The sequence below is a fragment of the Homo sapiens genome, chromosome 8 (genome assembly GCF_000001405.40).
Source record: "Homo sapiens chromosome 8, GRCh38.p14 Primary Assembly".
Classification (NCBI taxonomy): Eukaryota; Metazoa; Chordata; class Mammalia; order Primates; family Hominidae; genus Homo; species Homo sapiens.
This window is the reverse complement of record NC_000008.11, coordinates 49,142,012-49,162,640: the sequence shown is the minus strand read 5'-3', so window position 1 is coordinate 49,162,640 and position 20,629 is coordinate 49,142,012. Positions and strand designations below refer to the sequence as shown.

General features: G+C 39.0%; 2 annotated features.

The window, feature by feature from the left end:
* Positions 10,187 to 10,256: an enhancer, noted in NCBI's record as "active region_27336". NCBI's record gives its function as "activates an Ori minimal core promoter by ATAC-STARR-seq in GM12878 lymphoblastoid cells {active_cell/tissue: GM12878}" and the evidence as "EXISTENCE:reporter gene assay evidence [ECO:0000049][PMID:35858748]".
* Positions 11,566 to 11,645: an enhancer, noted in NCBI's record as "active region_27335". NCBI's record gives its function as "activates an Ori minimal core promoter by ATAC-STARR-seq in GM12878 lymphoblastoid cells {active_cell/tissue: GM12878}" and the evidence as "EXISTENCE:reporter gene assay evidence [ECO:0000049][PMID:35858748]".

The window sequence follows — 20,629 nt, the reverse complement described above, 5'->3', positions numbered from 1 at the left end:
TCAGAGGCCGCATTGATAAAGATTTTTGGATCCTGGTATCTGGGGCCTGCCAAAACATTTCTTTCCTATATTAGTCACTTGTTGCTGTGTAACCAATAACTGGGGCTTCTGACACCTCAGGGCCTGCCTGGGCTAGGATTGACCTCCAAGCACATTCACATGGCTATCGCTGCAGACCTCAGTTCCTCAGGCCTTTCCACAGGCTTCCTGGATATCCTCATGACAACAGGGCTGGCTTGCTGGGATTAAGCTTCATCTTTTGAGAAGAGTATCAAAAATTTTGTGGATATATTTTTACAACCACCATATCCTCTATTGTATTGCAACTTGTACCTCAACTATTAGGAAAGAATCACAACCACTGGTAGGCCTCTGAGTTTTAGAGGCAGCATATTCCATACTTAGGAATACTTCTCGGACCCACTTTTTAGATGATATGATAACTGCTAGTTTTGAGTGGAGTCTAAAGCAAATTTCAGCAGCAGGTCTTGGCTGCTCTACAGCCGTCTCTGCAAATTGGGCCATATGGCCTGGCAGAACCCCTGGTACTAAATGTTTCTGTGTTGGGAAAAGACACCATGTGGCACCTCCAGCAAGAGTCAATAAGAGAGGCACAGTGCAGGCCCTAGATTCTCAGAGTAAGACCAGGCTGCCTGCAGCAAAGTCCAAATACCATTTGAAAAGCAGCTTCTGGCATGCTACCAGGCCCTGAGAAAGAGAGCATCTGGATACAGCACACCAAACTGCCCATAAGGCTGTCACTGCCCACCATTAGATCCGTACTGTTGCATACAATGGCTTCTATTGTCAGGCCATGCAGCATCCATCAGTTATAAGGTAGGAGTGAAACATTGACAGTGGGCTTACATAGTGCAAAGGGAAGACCTAGGCTTCAGAAACAGGTGGCTAAGGCCTCCATGTCATTGGCCAGTGTTGCCTTGATAGGTCTCTTTCAATTCACACCAGTAGCCTCATGAGGGGTTCCCCACAACCAGCTAAAAAAGGAAGCAAATGCCCAAGCCTGATTTACAGATGGGTCAGCTCAGCAAGTTTGTGCAAGCCAGAACTGCTGCTATGCCCTGACCCTACTCAAAAATTCCCTAAGAGACTATGATGAGGGAAATGCTCTAAGGGCTAGGGGCTTGAGCCTTGCACCACATCATCTGCTTTGTGTGGAAGCAGAAATAATCCAAGGTAGAGACATATATGTCCCAATGGGCAGTAGTGAATGATGCTTGATTAGGCAAGATTATATGGATAGACTTACAAATTGACAAAAAGTGTGAAAATATTTTTATTGTATGTTAATTCCTACCAGAAAGCATCCACTGCAGAGTAGTCACTAAACAACCACGTAGACAGGATGGATTGCTTGACTGATGTCAACTTGCCTTTGTTCTTTGATACTCCCATGCTTACAGATGGGCTCATGAATACCACTGCTATGGTGGCAGAGGTGCAGGCTGTGCTGGGCCCAATAACTGGAGTTCCCTCTCATCAGGGATTGTGTAGCCACTGCCCTCACTGAATTTTGACATGTCAGCAAAAAAGAACAGGTGTCAGTCCCCCAAATGGTACCATTCTTCTTGGAGACCAGCTGGCCATTTGGTGATAAGCACATTTCATGTACTTCCTTCCACAGGGAGAGTGGTGAGAACTCGTAATAAAGGCAGGAAAGGTAATATGTTTCCCACTATAGTGTTCCATGATGGCATCTCTTGGTGCTCCCAGACCCAACTGTCACTGGGCAAGTACAGCAGCCACAGGCTGATAAGTGCATGCAAATCAGAGGCTCCCACCCCTTACAGAAGAAAACTAACCTGGACCAGAGAAGTGTTAGCTGAGATGGAGCCAAATCTACAAAGGGTGGTAGAGAAAGGAGAGTGGTGTTGAATACTAGCTGTAGTCTCGTGACACACTGTAGCTTTGGAGACTATAGTCTGTCCCACCAACCTTCCTCTGGTAAGTTCCCAGAGAATCCTGGGAATGCTACACTTGGATAGAGAGAACTCATATGATAATCAAGTGGATGTGAGAGATTTAAAGAGAAGAATACAACAGATGTTGTTAGTGTCCTACCCAGATTTTTCTTTGCTCCTGGGGACACCCTCACCTAGCTGCTGCAAATGCTGCAGATCATGGCTTTCACCTACACAACTTTCATTGGAGAATTGCCCACTGCAGAGAGGAGTCCCCTGACCCCACGTGCCTGGGAGTTTACACCCCATGAAAGCCCTCCACTCACGCATACCCTGGAGCATCCACAACTAATTAATTGATACCATGGTACAAAGTCAGACCAGCTTTCTGCAAGGTGGAATTTGTGCACTATAGTGTGTGCCCTCAACCACTCTTCTAACCCCCGACACCTGGATTAGACACAGCTGAACTTTTCTAATAACATTTCCCTGCTTGGGCCATTGTTTTTTTCCATTCTGCCTCCCTCAGTTCAGCCAAGTCCCTCCAGTGGATACTGCTTTTAGAGAATGTGCCTTGGAAATTGGCTTTTAAGGAAATTGAGTTTGATTCTTTTTACTTCCATTAGAGTATCCCACCAATTATATTTATATTTCACAGATAATGTTTTCAGGAGCATGGAACTAGTTTGGAAGGGAGGGGGAAGAGTATACATCCACTTTAAGCAGAATCTGTGGTTACTATAAAAGTATTCCATGTGAACTGGATAATGTGAGGCATTTCACTATGGAGATTAATTGCTGATAACTATTTGGTCTTTAAAGTTGATTTTCATAGAGATGATTTTGGTTTAACAATAACAAATACTTTTTTTCTTTGTAGGTTTTTTTTAGTTTTCTTTTTCTGACCTCCCCTAATCAAACTTGCCCTTCAAGACCTGAAGGCCCTCTTTCCCTCTTTCCCACAAAAGCATTAGTGAACCCTCAACTGGGACTTTCTTCTCTCCCTGCCATGAAATGTTCCAGCCCCTTATATGCAACTCATATTAGCTCCTTCCTTTCCTCTCATATACTTTAGATATTGAAGTAAATGACCTTTCTTTGGCTATCAGGCTGCAAGTCATTGGGAACCAGCATCTCTGACTATTGAGTTTTTTAGTGTTTCTCCCAGAATCTGACCAAACTGCCTTCCATCATCAATGACTGGGAGTCAGATGAGGGCAGATAGAATTCACACAGTGATGGTGTGTTACCAGAAGATGCAGCCCACCCTTAAAAAATACATGAAGGCCCATATTATTCCGTGAATCTACGTGATTATGAGTGGCCAGGCATGATTGCCTGTGCCAGTGGGAGGATAAAAGAGGAAAGAAACTCCCTGGATGCTTGCTGTGTATTAAAGACTCACATAGACTGAGAGTTTAATCCTCATAACACCCTTCATAGACAACAGTCATTAATTCCATTCTACAGAGCTGGAAATCTAATTCAGAGCTGCAAAGTAACCGGGACTTGATTACCTAGTGGCTGAGCCAGAATCCAAGAGAAGTGATTTAAAACTTATGCTCTTTCCACTAAACCCCTTTCCCTGTTGAGATCCAAATAACTTGAAATTCTATGATTTAACCACCATTAGAGATAAATTTCTTCAATAAAAACATTTTATGCATTTATATAAACATGGAACATTTGCAATGCCCAAGGTTCTGGGAAAGACGCTAAGAACATACAAACAGTAAATCTTAAATAAAAATTCCCCTTCTGAAAATCCATTATCTTTCACACTGAAAAAGGAAAGGCCTTTGCCTAGGATTATACATAGAGCAGTACTGGTTTGTTTTGTTTGTTTGTTTGTTTGTTTTGGTTTTTTTGTTTTTGTTTTTGTTTTTGAGACGGAGTCTCGCTCTGTCGCCAGGCTGGAGTGCAGTGGCACGATCTCGGCTCACTGCGAGCTCCCGCCTCCCGGGTTCACGCCATTCTCCTGCCTCAGCCTCCCGAGTAGCTGGGACTATAGGCGCCCGCCACTACACCCGGCTAATTTTTTTGTATTTTTTTCAGTAGAGACGGGGTTTCACCGTGTTAGCCGGGATGGTCTCGATTTCCTGACCTCGTTGATCCGCCCGTCTCGGCCTCCCAAAGTGCTGGGATTACAGGCGTGAGCCACTGCGCTCGGCCACATAGAGCAGTACTGTTATTCCATCATTGAAGATCCAATTTCTGTGCAAAAACATGTTATTTTCAGGTTCGCCAGACTTCTAGCTAGCAGAGTATTTCAGTTTATGAGATTCCAAATTTAAAGTCACAATTTGTTTCTTAGATTGACCAATAACAACTGTGATATCTTGCACAATTTTACCTCTCGAAATTTTGGTTTATTCACCAATACAGTATCCTTGTAAATTTGTTATGGGTCTTACATGAGGTGAGCTATGGCTTGGATATGGTTGTTTGTCCCCACTAAATCTCATGTTGAAATTAAATCTTCAGTGTGGCAGTGTTGGGAGGCGGGGCTGAGCTGGAGGTATTTGATTCATAGAGGTGGATCTCTGATGAGAAGCTCCGTGCTGCTATCATGGTAGTGAGTGAGTTCTTACTTTTGTGAGACTGGGTTGGTTCTCAAGGGAATTGATTAGTTCTGTGGAAGTGAGATCTTATAAAACTAGGATGCCCTGGGTTTGGCCCCTCTTCCTACGAGCCCACTTCCCCTTGACCTTCTCTGCCATGTTTTGTCTCTGCACAAATGCCCGCACCAGAAGCTGAGCAGATGCCAGTGACATGCTTCTCGTACAGCCTGCAGAGGTGTGAGCTAAATAAACCTCATTTTTCAATAAACTACCCAGCCTCAGGTATTCCTTCATAGCAACACAGAATGCACCAAGATAAGGAACATGTAAAGTACTTAAGGAAACTTCTGAAACATGGTAGGTATACAATAAATTGTCATGTGGCAGGATAATCGGTGTCTCAGTAAAATATTAATACTAATTCCTACTAATGTAGAAATATCAGAAAGAATGAATATTTTTCCCTCCTTACTCTGCTCCCCTATACTTCTGGAGTGTAAGGAGGGATTTGAGGATAGCAGGCTTTTGAGCTGTAGACCTCTGGAACTTCCTGTCTATAACCTTCATCATAGTGAAATGCTTTTATTTTCAGAAAGAGCCGAATTATCCTAGAGGTAAAACATTAGAACTAGAGTCTCAAAGAGGGAGAAGGGACATGTAGCTTTTTGAGGAAATTCCTCCCAATACTGGAAAGGTGACAGATGTCCAAAATGTTTCAACATGGAGTTGATCTGTCCCACACTTTTGAATGCATGAGGAGATGCAAAGCCCTCAGAAGGGAATTGTTGTATAATTAATTTAGGAATGCACAGCTCTGGGCTCTGGGCTCTGGGCTCTGGTCTAAAAAACATCCTTCTGCCCAAAGTAGGCCCAGGAGCAGTGATACTACCAACTTCAAGAGTCTAAGGTCAGTGATAACCATCCTGAGACCAACACTCCTGGATATGGACAGTGAGGTCCCCCTGGGCTTCAGATAACCACAGAGGAGTGAGCAGGGAGAAGATGGAAATCCAAATTAGCTTAGGAGACAGAGTTTGCTACTGGATTAGAAGGATGAGAACATTCAGAGCATATTGTGTTAGAGAAAAAATGAAAGGTGAGTGACTTTGTTCACTCTTGCTATGTAAAATAAAACTCACAAGCAAAAGTTGTTCTAGCTACTTGCTTCCCACCCCTCCCCTTAAGGCATCCTGTGATGTGATTTCATGCAATCTCAGTAAAAAGCAAAATTCATTCCTATTAACTTTTTGAAAAAAAAAACTATTCTACGTTTCTTTCACAAATTGTGTTTTAATGTGTTTTGAAATGATAAAAAAAGAAACAATTCATCCCTTTTTAGATGACTCTTGCAAACATGACAGTCTAAAATTGGCAGACTCCTGCAGTGTTTAGAAAAGAAACCAAGACTTTGAAAATACATTAGACATTTTGCAATAGAAAAGGAAAGTTAGAAGAAAGCAAAAATAAGAGTTTCCAGGGAAGCCTCTGGTCAGAGGAAGACGAAGCGGGGCTCATGTAACCATGGGGGACTCTAATTGCTTTCTTTGCACCAAAGACAAACTGCGGAGAGCTCAATTCAACAAATATGTCTGGAGTACTTTCCATGTACTCAACATTTTGCTTGGCAATGGGGATTCAACGGTAAACAAGGTGCAATTGCTCTCTTTGAGGAGATGACATCAACTGTACAAATACAAAGGAAACACAGTAATTTCAATAAAAAGATGTGCACTCAGGGGAAGCACAAAAAGAGTATGCCTGGCATCCTAGAGAGGAAGATTACTGGTTTAAGAATGACTAATATTAGCTAGAGAATGGAGGGAAGGGATGGAGATGGAGGAGGATATGGGGCAACTGCGAGACAAAGAAGACCATTAGGAAAAGACAAAGAATGAAGGTAACAGTTTGACATGCAGAAGATACTTGGAGACAGAAGATACTTAGTTGGTGGATTTTTATCCATTCTGCCATTCTATATCTTTTAAGTGGAGCATTTAGGTCATTTACATTCAATGTTAGTATTGATATGTGAGGTACTATTCTATGCATCCTGCTAGTTCTTGCTTAAATAACTTTTTTTTCATTGTGGTATTGTTTTATAGGCCCTCTGAGATTTATGCTTTAAGGAGGTTCTGTTTTGGTGTATTTTGAGGTTTTGTTTCAAGATTTCAAACTCATTTTAGCATTTCCTGTAGTGCTAGCTTGGTAGTGGCAAATTCGGCATTTGTTCTTCTGAAAAAGACTAACTCTCCTTCATTTCTGAAGCTTAGTTTCGCTGGATACTGATTTCTTAACTATCAATAATTTTGTTTGGGGAAGCTAAAGATAGAACCCCAATCCCTTCTGGCTTGTAAAGGTTTCTGCCAAGAAATCAACTAATCTGATTGCTTTTCCATTATAGGTTACCTAATGCTTTTGCCTCACAGCTGTTAATATTCTTTCCTTTATCTTGACTTTAGAAAACCTGATGACTATATGACTGGGTGATGATGTTTTTGTGATAAATTTCCAAAGTGTCCTTTGAGCTTCTTTTATTTGGATGTCTAGATCTCTAGCAAGGCCAGGGAAGAGTTCCTCAAGAACTCTCTCAAATAAGTTTTCCAAACTTTTAAATTTATCTTATCCTCAGGAACACCAATTATCAAACCAATAATAAGTAGCGAAATTGAAATGGTAATTTTAAAAACTGCCAAAAAAATCATCCAGGGACAGATGATTTCACAGCTGAATTCTATCAGACATTCAAAGCAGAATTGGTACCAATACTGCTAAAAATATTCCAAAAGATATTGAAAGAGAGAATCCTCCCTAAGTTATTCTGTGAAGCCAGTATTGCCCTAGTACCAAAACCAGGAAAGGACATAACAAAAAAAAGGAAAACTACTGACCAATATCCCTGAAGAACATAGATGCAAAAATCCTCAATGAAATATTAGCTAACCAAATCCAACAGCATATCAAAAAGATAATACATCATGATCAAGTGGGATACAGGGATGGTTCAACATACACAAGTCAATAAATGTAATACAGCACATAAACAGAATTAAAAACAAAAATAGTATGATCATCTCAATAGATGCAGAAAAAGCATTTTACAAAATCCAGCATCACTTTATGATAAAAACCCCCACCAAAATTGGCATAGAAAGGACATACCTCAAGTTAATAAAAGCCATCTATGAGAAACCCATAGCCAAATTATACTGAGCAGGGCAAACTTGAAAGCATTCCCCATGAGAACTGGAACAAAACAAGGATGCCTACTTTTATCCCTTGAACATAATACTGGAAGTCCTAGTCAGAGCAATCAACAAGAGAAATAACTAAAGGGCATCCAAATCAGTAAAGAGAAAGTCAAACGGTTCCTGTTCCCCAATGATATGACTGTATACCTAGAAAACCCTAAAGACTCATCCAAAAAGCTCCTAGATCTGAAAAATGAATTCAGTAAATTATCAGGATACAAAATCAATGTACACAAATCAGTAGCACTGCTATATACCAACAACAACCAAGCAAAGAATCAAATCAAGAACACAATCTCTTTTACAACTGTTGCAAAAAAATAAAATACTTAGAAATATACCTAACCAAGGAGGTGAAAGATTTCTACAAGGAAAACTACAAAACACTGCTGAAAGAACTCAGGGGATGACACAAACAAATGGAAACGCATCCCATGCTTCTAAATTGGTAGAATCAATATTGTGAAAATGACCATACTGCTAAAATCAAGCTATACATTAAATGCAATTCCCATAAAAATGCCATCATCATTCTTCACAGAACTAGAAAAAACAATCCTAAAATTCACAGGGAACCAAAGAAGAGCCTGCATAGTCAAAGCAAGACAAAGTAAAAAGAACAAAACTGAAGGCATCACATTACCTTACTTCAAACTATACTACAAGGTTATAGTTACCAAAACAGCATGATACTGGTATAAAAATGTCATGTTGACCAGTGGAACAGAATAGAGAACCCAGAAATAAAGCCAAATACTTACAGCCAACTGATCTTCAACAAGCAAACAAAAACACAAAGTGGGGAAAGAATGCCCTAATCAACAAATGTTTCTGGGATAATTGGCTAGCCCCAAGTAGAAGAATGAAACGATCCTCATCTCTCACCTTATGCAAAAATCAACTCAAGGGGGATAAAAGACTTAAATCTAAGATCTGAAACTATAAAAATTCTAGAAGATAACATCAAAAAAAAAAAAACTCCTCTAGACGTTGGCTTAGGAAAAGCGTGCATGACCAGGAACTCAAAAGCAAATGCAACAAAAACAAAGATAAATAGATGGGATTTAACTAAATTAACAAGCTTTTGCACAGCAAAAGAAATAATCAGCAGAGTAAACAGACAACTCACAGAATGGGAGAAAATCTTCACAATCTATGCATCTGACAAAGGACTAATATCCAGAATCTATAAAGAACTCAAACAAATCAGCAAGAAAAAAATATATCCCATCAAAAAGTGGGCAAAAGACATGAATAGAAAATTCTCAGAGAAGATATACAAATGGCCAACAAACATATGAAAAATGCTGAACATCACTAATTATCAGGGAAATGCAAATAAAAACCAAAATGAGATACCACCTTACTCCTGTAAGAATGTCCATAATTAAAAAATAAATAACAGATGTTAGTGTGGATGTAGTGAAAAGGGAACAGTTTTGCACTGCCAGTGGGAATGTAAACTAGTACAAAACACTATAGAAAACAACGTGGAAATTATTTAAAGAACTAACAGTAGAACCACCATTCTATCCAGCAATCCCACTACTGGGTGCCTACCCAAGGGAAAAGAAGCTATTATATTAAAAAGAGTCTTGCATATGGATGTTTATAGCAGCACAATTCACAATTGCAAAACTATGGAACCAGCCTAAATGCCCATAAACCAATGAGTGGATAAAGAAAATGTGATATGTGTACAGCATGAAATAGTATTCAGCCTTGAAAAGGAATGAAATAATGGCATTCCCAGCAACACGGATGGAGTTGCAGATGATCATTCTAAGTGAAGTAACTCAGGAATAAAAAACCAAATATCATTTGTTCTCATTTATAAGTGGAAGCTAAGTTATGAGGATGCAAAGGCATAAGAATGATGTAATGGACTTTGGGGACGCTCCGGCAAAGGCGGGAGGTGGGTGAGGGATAAAAGGCTACACATTAGGTAAATGTACACTGCTTGGGAGATGAGTGCCATCAAATCTCAGAAATCACCACTAAATAACATATCTATGTAACTAAACGCCACCTGTTCTCCAAAAACTATTGAAATAAAATAAAATAAATAAAATGATAATTTTCCCTTTCCTACGATAATTTGAATGAGAGTAAAAAACATCTTCTAATTTTCCTAAGTCAATATTCATATTTTTTTCTAAACAATAATGAAATTCCATTCCCATAGTCCCTTGGCAGTTAGCTTTTGAGTCCAACAAGAACAAAATAGCACTTTTCATCTCCTAAGTGAGATCAGATGGCTTTTAGAGGTTTGGCCTCAGCGTTTTCAGTGGCCTGAGTGTGAGAAGATTAAGATGGCTTTGTGCTTCTGAAAGTCCTCAGGATTCTTGTAGCCTGCTGGGGAGAGGAGAGGAGCAGGCAGCCGATCGTGCCCCCAGCTCAGGGCTGTCTCTATGACCACAGGTCCTTCCATCAAGAGGGAAGCAGAGGCCACACCACAAAAGGACCTCAGATTTTCCTCTAATTTGATATTTTATCTGAGAGGAACATAAAGCCATAAAAACTTTTAAGATGAATAGCTAGAGCACAGAGAATTTCTAGGGAAGTGAAACTACTCTGTGTGATACCATAATGATAGATATGTGTCATTATACATTTTTCCAAACCCATAGAATGTACAACATCAAGAGTAACCCTCATATAAACTACAGACGTTGGGTGACAATAAGGTGTCAATAGGTTCGTCAGTTGTAACAAACATGCCACACTGCTGGATGATGTTGATAGTGGCAGGGCTATCTACGTGTGGGGACAGGGTAGATGGGAACCCTTTATCTTCTCCTCAATTTGCCGTGAACCATTCTAAAAAATAAAGTATATTTCTAAAACATTTCAACAGTTTGCTAGTCAGAAAACTAAATCACAAATTGCAGAAACATATTCTGGTTAATTTAAACCCCCCCCCCAAAAAAAAAAAAGGGAAAAGGTGAGAAGAGGAAAGGGGAGGGGAGTACGGGAGTGGAGAGGGAAGGAATTGTGAAGACTTCATAATAGAACTCCAGGCAGATCAGGCCAGAACACAGGAGGGTGTGCATGGTGAACCCACAGCTCTTGCAGTCAGTCTACCGTCCCCTCCTCCAGCCTCCTGCTCTTGGATGCAGGTGCTCCCCTCACCCAACTTGGAACCCCTCCCTTTCCTCAGTCTGTCAGCCCCACTCCTGCCACACCAAAGCTGGAGCACCAGAGACCTCAGAATTGGCCCATTCCACTGCTCGCCTGTCCCAGTCTCCAGCTTTGGCCTGCTGCAGCTGTGGGCCCATAGGAGCACCATGGGAGCACCACAGGAGCACCAGGGGAGCACCACAGGACGCTCCAGGAGCACCACCACTTGAATTTGTTTTCTTGCTCCTTTCTGTAGTGGCCCAGCTCATGGCTGTGTCTACGACCACAGGGCCTTCCATCAAACAGGATATCTACCCAACTCCACATTCCCTCACAGGGCCTCTGACAAGCTCCAAGTCTTGCTTTCTTCTGCTTTTCTCTTTTATTTGAAAGTTTCATTAGTTCTCAAGCATTTTAAGATATTCTAGTCTCTAATGTGAGAAGATAATTTTGCTTAGGACTTCAAGGAGATATGGATGGTATCGTATGAACTTTTTCAGTCACTCTCCGGTTTTACTTGCAGCCCTGTTGTTTTTTGCTCAGTTCCACTTCTTCAGAGGCAGAGGTGCGAGCTTTGGTCTAATGCTAATGCCTCCACCCAGACTGGGTATCCCCTTCCATATATTCGCAGACTGCATGTCACCAACCACCAGAGTACTACTTACTACCCCCCAAGCCACCCCAGCTTCCTGTACTTGAACGTATCAATGACTGCAACAAAATTCCCCAGCATTAACACTCTCATATCTTTCTAATGTTAGTAAATGGCAACTTCTTCCTCTCTGACCTGAACAATCAGGAAAAAATTTTGATGTTTTTCTTTGATTCCTTGCTAATATTCTACATCCAATCCTTCAGAAAATTCTGTTGGTCCTACTTTAAAACATTCATGATATGAACCTTCAGGGCCACCTTGCCCTCCTGGGTCAAAACCATCATAACCTGTCGCCTGGAAAACAGCAACATCTGCTCCACTCAGTGCTTCCCTCTCCTCTTGCACACCCATCATCTCTTCTCTACACAGCAGCCACAGGAGTCCCTTTGAAATGCCAGATCATGTCACTGCTCCGTTCAGAATCCCCCAAGTCTGACTCAGGCACTCAGGAAGACCCAGTCTTCCCAATAGTGGATACAGGCCCTGCTACTCTCTGAACGCCTCTCCTCCACCGGCCTCTTTTCTCACTCCTGCCAGGCCCATGGTATCCTTTCTGGCTTCCACTCTCATCTTGAGTCCTTATCACTCAGTTTTCCACCTTCCTCTGCTCCCCGTGTAGTGATTCTCATTTTTTTTCCAAGTACATAATCAGATGCTGTCTTACTAAATGGCCTTTCCTCGCCAGTCACCTGGTATACAATAGCTGTTCCTCCAGCCCTTGGCACTTGCTGTGGCATTCACCTCTCTTTGTTTTCTGTAACGGCACTTACCCACTGACACTGTCTTCACTTGTTTTTATTCCTCCTGTAAGGTAAGTAGGCCATTTTTATTTTCATTGCTGTGTCTCCAGAGCTTAGAGCATTTTTCTTTCTTTCTTTCTTTCTCTTTCTTTCTTGCTTTGCTTTGCTTTGCTTTGCTTTGCTTTGCTTTGCTTTGCTTTGCTTGCTTTCTTTTTTTTTTTGGAATCTCACTCTGTTGCCCAGGCTGGAGTGCAGTGGTGTGATCTCAGCTCCGTGTAACCTCCACCTCCCAGGTTCTAGCGATTCTCCTGCCTCAGCTTCCTGAAGTTCTTGACACATATTTAATGCTCCATAAATATTTGTTGAGTTAAATAATTAATTAATATATTTGTTGCCCAAATGCACTCCCTACCCAAATCATCCCAAACTGATTGCTAGAGAGATCGGTGTTATACACATGTACATAGATATGAATTATGGATGGTTCCACTTCAACCAAGTCTTGTCAATCCAAACTCTTAGGCCTCTTAGTCCCCTCTTCCCTTGAGCATTGCTGCCATTACTTCTTTATTTCCCAACAAGAACTTGGAAGTACCTTCTGAAAATGGTCTTCTGGTTCTAGATATGTTTCTCCCATTTCCTTTCCCATACTGCTAGAGTAGGCCCCCTCTGTATTATTAAAATATAATCCTGATTAAATCATACAAAGGTTAAAAATTCTTCAATAGTTCCCATGGCCGACATGATAAATTCCTAATATTTGTATCGTGTATGAGGAGATTTGACATCACCACTAGAGGGTGGGCACTGTGTTGTTCTGACAAGGGACCCAAATGCTTAGCATGGTGCTTGACATATAGTGCATAAGCAATCACCATTTGCCAGTAAAGAGAAAATTTTTAAAGTTGATTTGTCTATCTCATGTTCATCTTTCCACCCAATAACCTCTCCAGTAAGGAGTGACTCGTGTCTCCAAGTTGTGCTGAACGGCTTCCAACTCTTCAAAGGTAACATACGTTCATGCCTCTCCCCCTGCCCTCCAGCCCAGGCTACCCTATGTGTCTGCCTGAGTTCTCCTCAAGCTTTGCTTCTTCCATGAAGTCCTCTCTATGCACTTTCTAGGTTTCTCCAAAACATAGGTCTGTGCCCACCTCAGAATGCTGCCCCAGCACCATTTTCCTATAATTCTGTAAAAGATCACACTCAACTGCAATGTGCTGTGTATGTCTGAGCACTGTACTCTTACCCATACAAACACAGAATCACCAACACACACACACCTACACACATCACACCTGCACACACTGCGTTTCACAGTACACACAAAGAATATAACCTCCTTAAGGGAAGGGACTAGAGCACACTATAGGTGCACAGTGGACACCAAGCAAATGTTTATTGAATAAGTAAACAAAGGAATAGAAGAATGAGCAGAGAATCTATGAACAAAAACAAATTCAGTGAGCAAAATTCTCAACTGTCTCTAAGATTCAGAGATAGAGTGGCATCAGGGTCTCACCTTTGCCAAAAATCATTTAAGGTCAAATTTACACTGAAAGTGTCTCATGGAGTCAGCAGAAAAGTCAGAGCCTATTAGGCACAGCCATACCTAGCATGGTGATAAAAAAATAAAAACAAGGGATGCAGGAAGCTAGTAGTGCAGTCATTGGATTGGGAACAGGGGAATCCCTATTTGTGAAAGCAGCTCTCAGAAATTTGGAAAGGAAGATTGAGATGAAACAAGACATATCCTACAGCATATATAATTCAACCTGTCAGGACTTAACAATCAGATACCTGATCTAAGCTAACAATAATTGTTCACAAAGCTGCATGAAGTATGTTGCATATAGATTGTATGAGTTTGTATTCTTTCATACTTACATTTTCAGCAGCTATTTATAAATTTGTATTCCCAACTAACGTATTTGCCTAAACTTTCTATAATTAAAGCATACAATATTATTTCCAATATAGCCAATTATATGGTTAATTAACTAATTACCCATAATTTCTTCAATTCCACCCCAGTGACAATGGTAAAATAAATTAACATTCCTTCTAAAAATCAGCAGTAATTAGGGTATTTTTGTTGCACCAGCATCTATAGTCACAATAAGACTAACACACACACCCCAGTAAAGAAGGAATAGGAAGAAAATTTCATATCATAAATCCAGATGCAAATGAAAAGTTTTCTTCTTCATAATTTCCAAACACTGTTATCCATCTCTACAGATTTATGGAATCCTTGAAGGGATATTAACAATGATCTACTGGCATGTTTTAAAATCCCCCTTTATTTGTGTTTATCGAAATGAAGCCCTAAGTACTGCTCCAATTTAACTGAAATCCTATTCATCAAAATATTTCCCTTTTCTCTTCCTTCCGTCCCTCCTCTGCCAACCCAGTGATCCTGAAGCCCCTAGGTTCAGGAAACACGGTCTTAATTAAACCCACTAGGCTCAGGAGCTTACTTTTCACTGTTACATTTCTCTGAGCTAGTAATTGTTTTATGTGTACATTTTTAAAGCTCTGTATTTATTTTATGTAAACATCCATCTGGTTCTATAGCTATGTTTGCTTCCTTTAGTAACTTGCTAATAATGTTTAGAGAATGAAGATGTCTTTATATTCAGCCTCAGGAACAAAGTGAGGAATACATCTCTTTCCTGCACATTGCAGGTCCCCAGCTGCCTTACTGAGAGCCTTATATACCATTTCACGGAAGAATCGGCACGTGATAATCAAATCAAAACACATATCTCTATGATATGCTCTTACCTCGGCATGAAAGAACATCTCCACCTACAGATTAAATATACTAACACACAGTGGAAACAAGCTTCTATTCAGTTTAGCCTAAATTCTTAGAGCATGAGTTATAGGTTTTGGTCACTTGAGTGTGAAATACCCTTTTTTAGCTGCTAGTCAATCAAATTAGAACAAGTATAATTTTCAAAAACTATCCTTGACACACCCACTGTTTTTTCTCCTTTCATCTACTTTTTCTACATTTCAATACATATGATATTTACATTGTGAGATTCCTCTAAGAGATGTTTCAACTAATCTTCTATTTCTCAATGGAAATATTGAGAAATAGAGGGAATTGAGGCAATTTCTCAATTGCCTGAGAAATACTGACTGTACAATGACAATCATGAAAGGAACTCGAGGTGGTCTACCTTTCCTACAAATACATATTGATTTCTTTCCATAAACATTTGGTCAGCATCAGTGAGGTAGGGGCTAAGGGACAACAAGATAGGGACTAAGAATAAAATTGGTGAAGAAAAATAGACATGATCCCTATTTCTATGGAAATTAAAATTTAATAATTTAGTAATCACAATGACTATAAAATAAGTAACTGAAATAATTGCTCTAAAGAAAAATAAAACATGGCTTTATGGAAGTATTTAAACTATGGAATTAGAAAAGCCTTCTTGAGGAGGTAATAAGCTGAGATATAAAATATTTAACGGTAATCTAGTCACAGGGGGAGGAACGCATGTTTCAGGGAGAAGAAACATATCTGCATGTGAAAGTTCCATGAAAGATGGAGCATTAGTGTGGTCAAGGAAGGGAAATTGTTCAGTGTGTTGCCTCACAGATGGCATCAGTGGACACCCATCCTGGGCCAGAGATCTTTATCCTAATGACAATTGGCAACAGTGGAAGAATTTTTAAGCAGGTAGGATTTTATTGGTGATATTATCAGTTTTAACCTTTGAAACTATCAGTGCTACAGTGTAGGGAGAAGACTAGCACAGAGTTGGGGAAATGACCAAGGGAAGACACAAATGGCTATTTAAATGCATGCAAGAAATGTCAGCAACTTGGACAAGACAACAGTTCTCAATCAGAAGAAAGGTGCTCACTCCTCCAGGGACGTTTACAAATGAGTGTGGGAATTTTGGATGTCACAGTGGATACAAAATCTAACAGCATTTATTAAGCGACAGCCGAGACACTAAATGTGCTGCATTGCAGAAGATAGTCGCCTACAACAAATGAATCTTCTCCCAAGATGCTAATAGTGCTCCAGTGGAGAAAAACTGGAGTAGGGTGATGTAGACAGAAACAGAAAAAAGTTACTGAAACTTGGTGCTGGTACAATGTGAAAGAGGAGGCCAAATAAATGTTTAAAATGACTTCTAAATTTCTGGCTAGCAAAACCAAATAGATGCAATTATGAAATTGGGGATCACAAGAAAAAGTAATTATTGAGGAAATAGAGCATGACTTTATTCCTGAGCATGTTGACTATGACATGTATTTGAGACAGATAGTATAGATATTGGAAAAGCAGCTGCTAAATAGATCTGGACCTCAGTGGAGTGGCCTGAAGTCACTTATACATGGTAATTGAAAGCATGGCTGTGGATGGATAGAGTATAGTGCAAGAAGAGAAGAGGGCTTGAGGCCGAAAGTTAAAAAACTGATATCTAAATGTCTTGTAGGAAGGAAGAGATAGCGGGGTCATATGAAAAGGAGCAGCTACAGCAAATTTAAAAACTGTGACAGATTATGACATAGAGGCCAAGGGAAGGGTGTCTCAAGAAAGAATAAAACGTCGATATTGCCTAATGTTATGGAAAGCTAAAATACTAACGAAATTAAAAATATGTCTTATTTGATAAAAAGTGATTGTTGATCTCAGTTAAGAGGGTTTCAGTGCAATGATGGGACAGGAATGCATTTGAGAAGAGTTGAGAGTAAACAAATAGGAGAAAATGGAAACAGAAAATACAGAAATGGCTCTTTGATTAAACTGTCATGGTAAAGGAGAGGAGAGACGTAGAGCAGTCTGTACAGAAGAGTGTCTTCCAGTTATCTACTGGTGCATGTCAATACACTCAGAAATGCTGAGGGGCTTGGAATAGTGCAAATCCTTTATGCTTTCCCCTGGTTCTGAGGAGTGATGGGGTAGCTAGTGCTTTGCATCTCTCCACTGCCTGCAGCAACAGCAGGCTGAGGCTGAGGCCAAGACCAAGGATCTTCTCATCAAAATTAGGTTGAGATGCAGATGAGCTTATCAAATTTATTCTTCCTCAAGCAATCTGCTATTTACTTCCCAGCACATTAGTTCGAGTTCTGCTTTTTCCCTTTGTCACCATTGTCTAGATCTTTCCGTGTCCTTCAATTGTTCAAATCCTATACACCTTCAAGTCCTAGGCTTAATGCACTCTGCTCCAAAAAGGATGACTTCCATGGGCCAGGGCCACTCCATGTTTCATCGTGATGTTCTTTCACTAATTGATTGCTTATTAATATTTGTTCATTGTTTTTTATTAGAAACACTTATTATACCAGGAGAAGAACAAAACAACTGCAGATGAAGCTCTTTGGATTTGTTCCTGAGGTGAAACTCCTCAAACGCCATTTCTCTGAATCGGAGATGTAGGAGTAACACAGTAGAAACCTCCCAGCAACAGAGGGAAACAGCAAAGCATGCAGCAAACAAGGTTCATAGCAACTTTGACATTGAATGAGGCACAGATTACCAGTTTCTTTTACTGTTTTAATTAACTCTATTAGGATATCATTTTTGCACAAGAAACAGCATCCTTTTAAAGTATACAATTTCATAAGTTTTGACAGTTATAGTCAGTCACTAAATGGCAGCAACAATTAAAAGACACATTTCCTTCATCCCCAAAGTTCCTGTGCCCCTTAGTCCATGCATCCCTCCAACATCCTCCTCAAGTGAAGGATGATCTGTTGTTGCCATGATGAATAGTTCAAATTTCTAGAATTCATATAAGTGGTATAATACATTGTATAGACTTCTGGGCCTGGATACTTTCTATTAATTATTTTAAGTTTTATCTATGTTGTAGTGTGAGTCAGTAATTTGTTTTATTTTATTGCTGATTAGTATTCAACTGTATGGATATACTACATTTTGTTTATCCATTTCAAAGTCATTGGCATCTGACTTATTTCTAATTTGGTGATTTTATGAAAAATAGCTACAAAAATGTGAACACAGGTTTATGTATGAACATTTATTTTTATTTCCTTTGGTGACAAACCTATGACTTGAATGACTTGGTTATGTAATAAGTGTGTATTTAAATTTTTTAGAAACTGCCCAAAACTTTCCTATTCACCAAAAGGTATGAGAGCACCAGTTGCTCCACGTTTTCTTCACCACCACTTAGTATGTCAGTATTTTATTTTAGCTACTACACATAGTGGCATTCCAATGTGGAATGATGTGCATCCTTTTTAGGTGCTTATTGGTCATTCATACATCTCTTCTAGTGAAGTGTTTGTCAGAAAAGATTTTGTCCATTTTTATTAGGCTTTTTGCCTTACTATTGAGTTATAGAAGCTTGTCTTTTTATTTTTTTCATTCAGGACACAAATTTATGTATACATATATTTGTAGCTTTATTTTTTATTGTGTCCTGTAAGGAACAAAAGTCATAATTTGGATAAAGTTTGACTTATCTTTTTGTCTTTTGTAGATTTTGCTTTTTGTGTCTTATCAAAGTCTTCGTTTAACCCAAGTTCACAGGTATTTATTCCACTAGTTATATAAGCTTAGCATTTACATTTAAGCCTATGAAGGTTTGAGATGAAGTGATATAAGGTAAATTTTTAGTTTCTTTATGTGACTATCCAGTTATTCCAGCACAATTGGTTGAAAAGACACTCCTTTTCTCATTGAAATGCTTTCACAGCTTAATAGAAAATAAACTGACCTTATATGTATAGGTCTATTTTTGGGAACTTTATTCCATTTTACTTATGTATATGTGAATCCTTCACCACACTGTTTTAATGTAAAAATGCTTTATACTTAGAACTAAAACTAGATCATATAAATTCTTTAAGTTTGCTTTTTCACTTTAATATTTTACTGGTGGTTATGGGCCATTCACACTTCCACATATATTTGAGAATCAGCTTGTCAGTTTAAAACATGATGTAATTTTGATTGGATTTGTTTTATCTGTTGATGAATTTAGAATAAATCAACATCTTTAAAATTTTGCATGTTTCAACTTATGAATATTTTTCTCAAGTCACATAGGCTTTTTAATTTTTTTACAAGAAGTTTTGTAGTTTTCAGTGTACAGGTCTTGCACATATTTTTATACATTATTTCTAGATATTTTATTCCCAGAGATGCTATTATAAATGAAATTGCATTTTTATTTCAATTTGTATGTTTTTGTTTGAGATTTTTTTTCTATTTGATTTGTCTAAGGTAGTTGATATAGTTGATTTTGTATATGGACCTTGTAACCTGGGACCTTGCTAAACTCACTTTTTAGTTCTACTAACTTTTTAACAGATTTATTAAAATGTCCTTTTGAGAAGTGTCTGTTTATATCCTTCACCCAATTTTTGATGCGGTTGTTTTTTTCTTTTAAATTTGTTCAAGTTCCTTGTGAATTCTAGATATTAGACCTTTGTCACATTGATAGATTACAAGAATTTTTTCCCATTCTGTAGGTTGCCTGTTCACTCTGATGATAGTTTCTTTTGCTGTGCAGAAGCTCTTTAGTTTAATTAGATCCCATTTGTCAATTTTGGCTTTTGTTGCAATTGCTTTTGGCGTTTTTGTCATGAAGTCTTTGCCCATGCCTATGTCCTGAATGATATTACCTAAGTTTTCTTCTAGGGTTTTGATGGTTTTGGGTTTTACATTTAAGTCTTTAATCCACCTTGAGTTAATTTTTGTATAAAGTGTAAGGAAGAGATCCAGTTTCAGTTTTCTGCATATGGCTAGCCAGTTTTCCCAGCACCATTTATTGAATAGGAGATCCTTTCCCCATTACTTGTTTTTGTCAAGTTTGTCGAAGATCAGATGGCTGTAGATGTGTAATTTCTGAGGTCTCCGTTCTGTTCCATTGGTCTATATGTATGCTTTGGTACCAAGCAGTACCATGTTATTTTGGTTGCCGTTGCCTTTTTGTTTTCTGGAAGTGTTTGTGAAGAATTGGAGTTAATTGTTCTTTATTTGTTTGGTAGGATTCACAATAGAACCTCCTGGACCTGCACTTTGTGTGCCTGAGAAATTTTTGTAGCTACTAATTTAACATCACTACATGGTATAAATCTAGTCAGATTTTATACTTTTTTAGCTGAGTCAGTTTTGGTAGTTTTTATGTTCCTAGAAATTAGTCAATTTCATCTACGTTATCAAATTAGTTTAATTCAAATTTTTTTAGTGTTGATTACAATCCTTTTTTAAAAAAAATTCCATACAGTCAGTGGAATGTCACCATTTTCATCTCTATTTTAGTAATATGAAAGTTTCATCTCTTTTTTGCCAATATAAATGAAAGTTTATCATTTTTGTTTATTTTTTAAATAACAAAACTTGATTTCATTTTTCTATTTTTATTCATTTATTTTGTTTTTG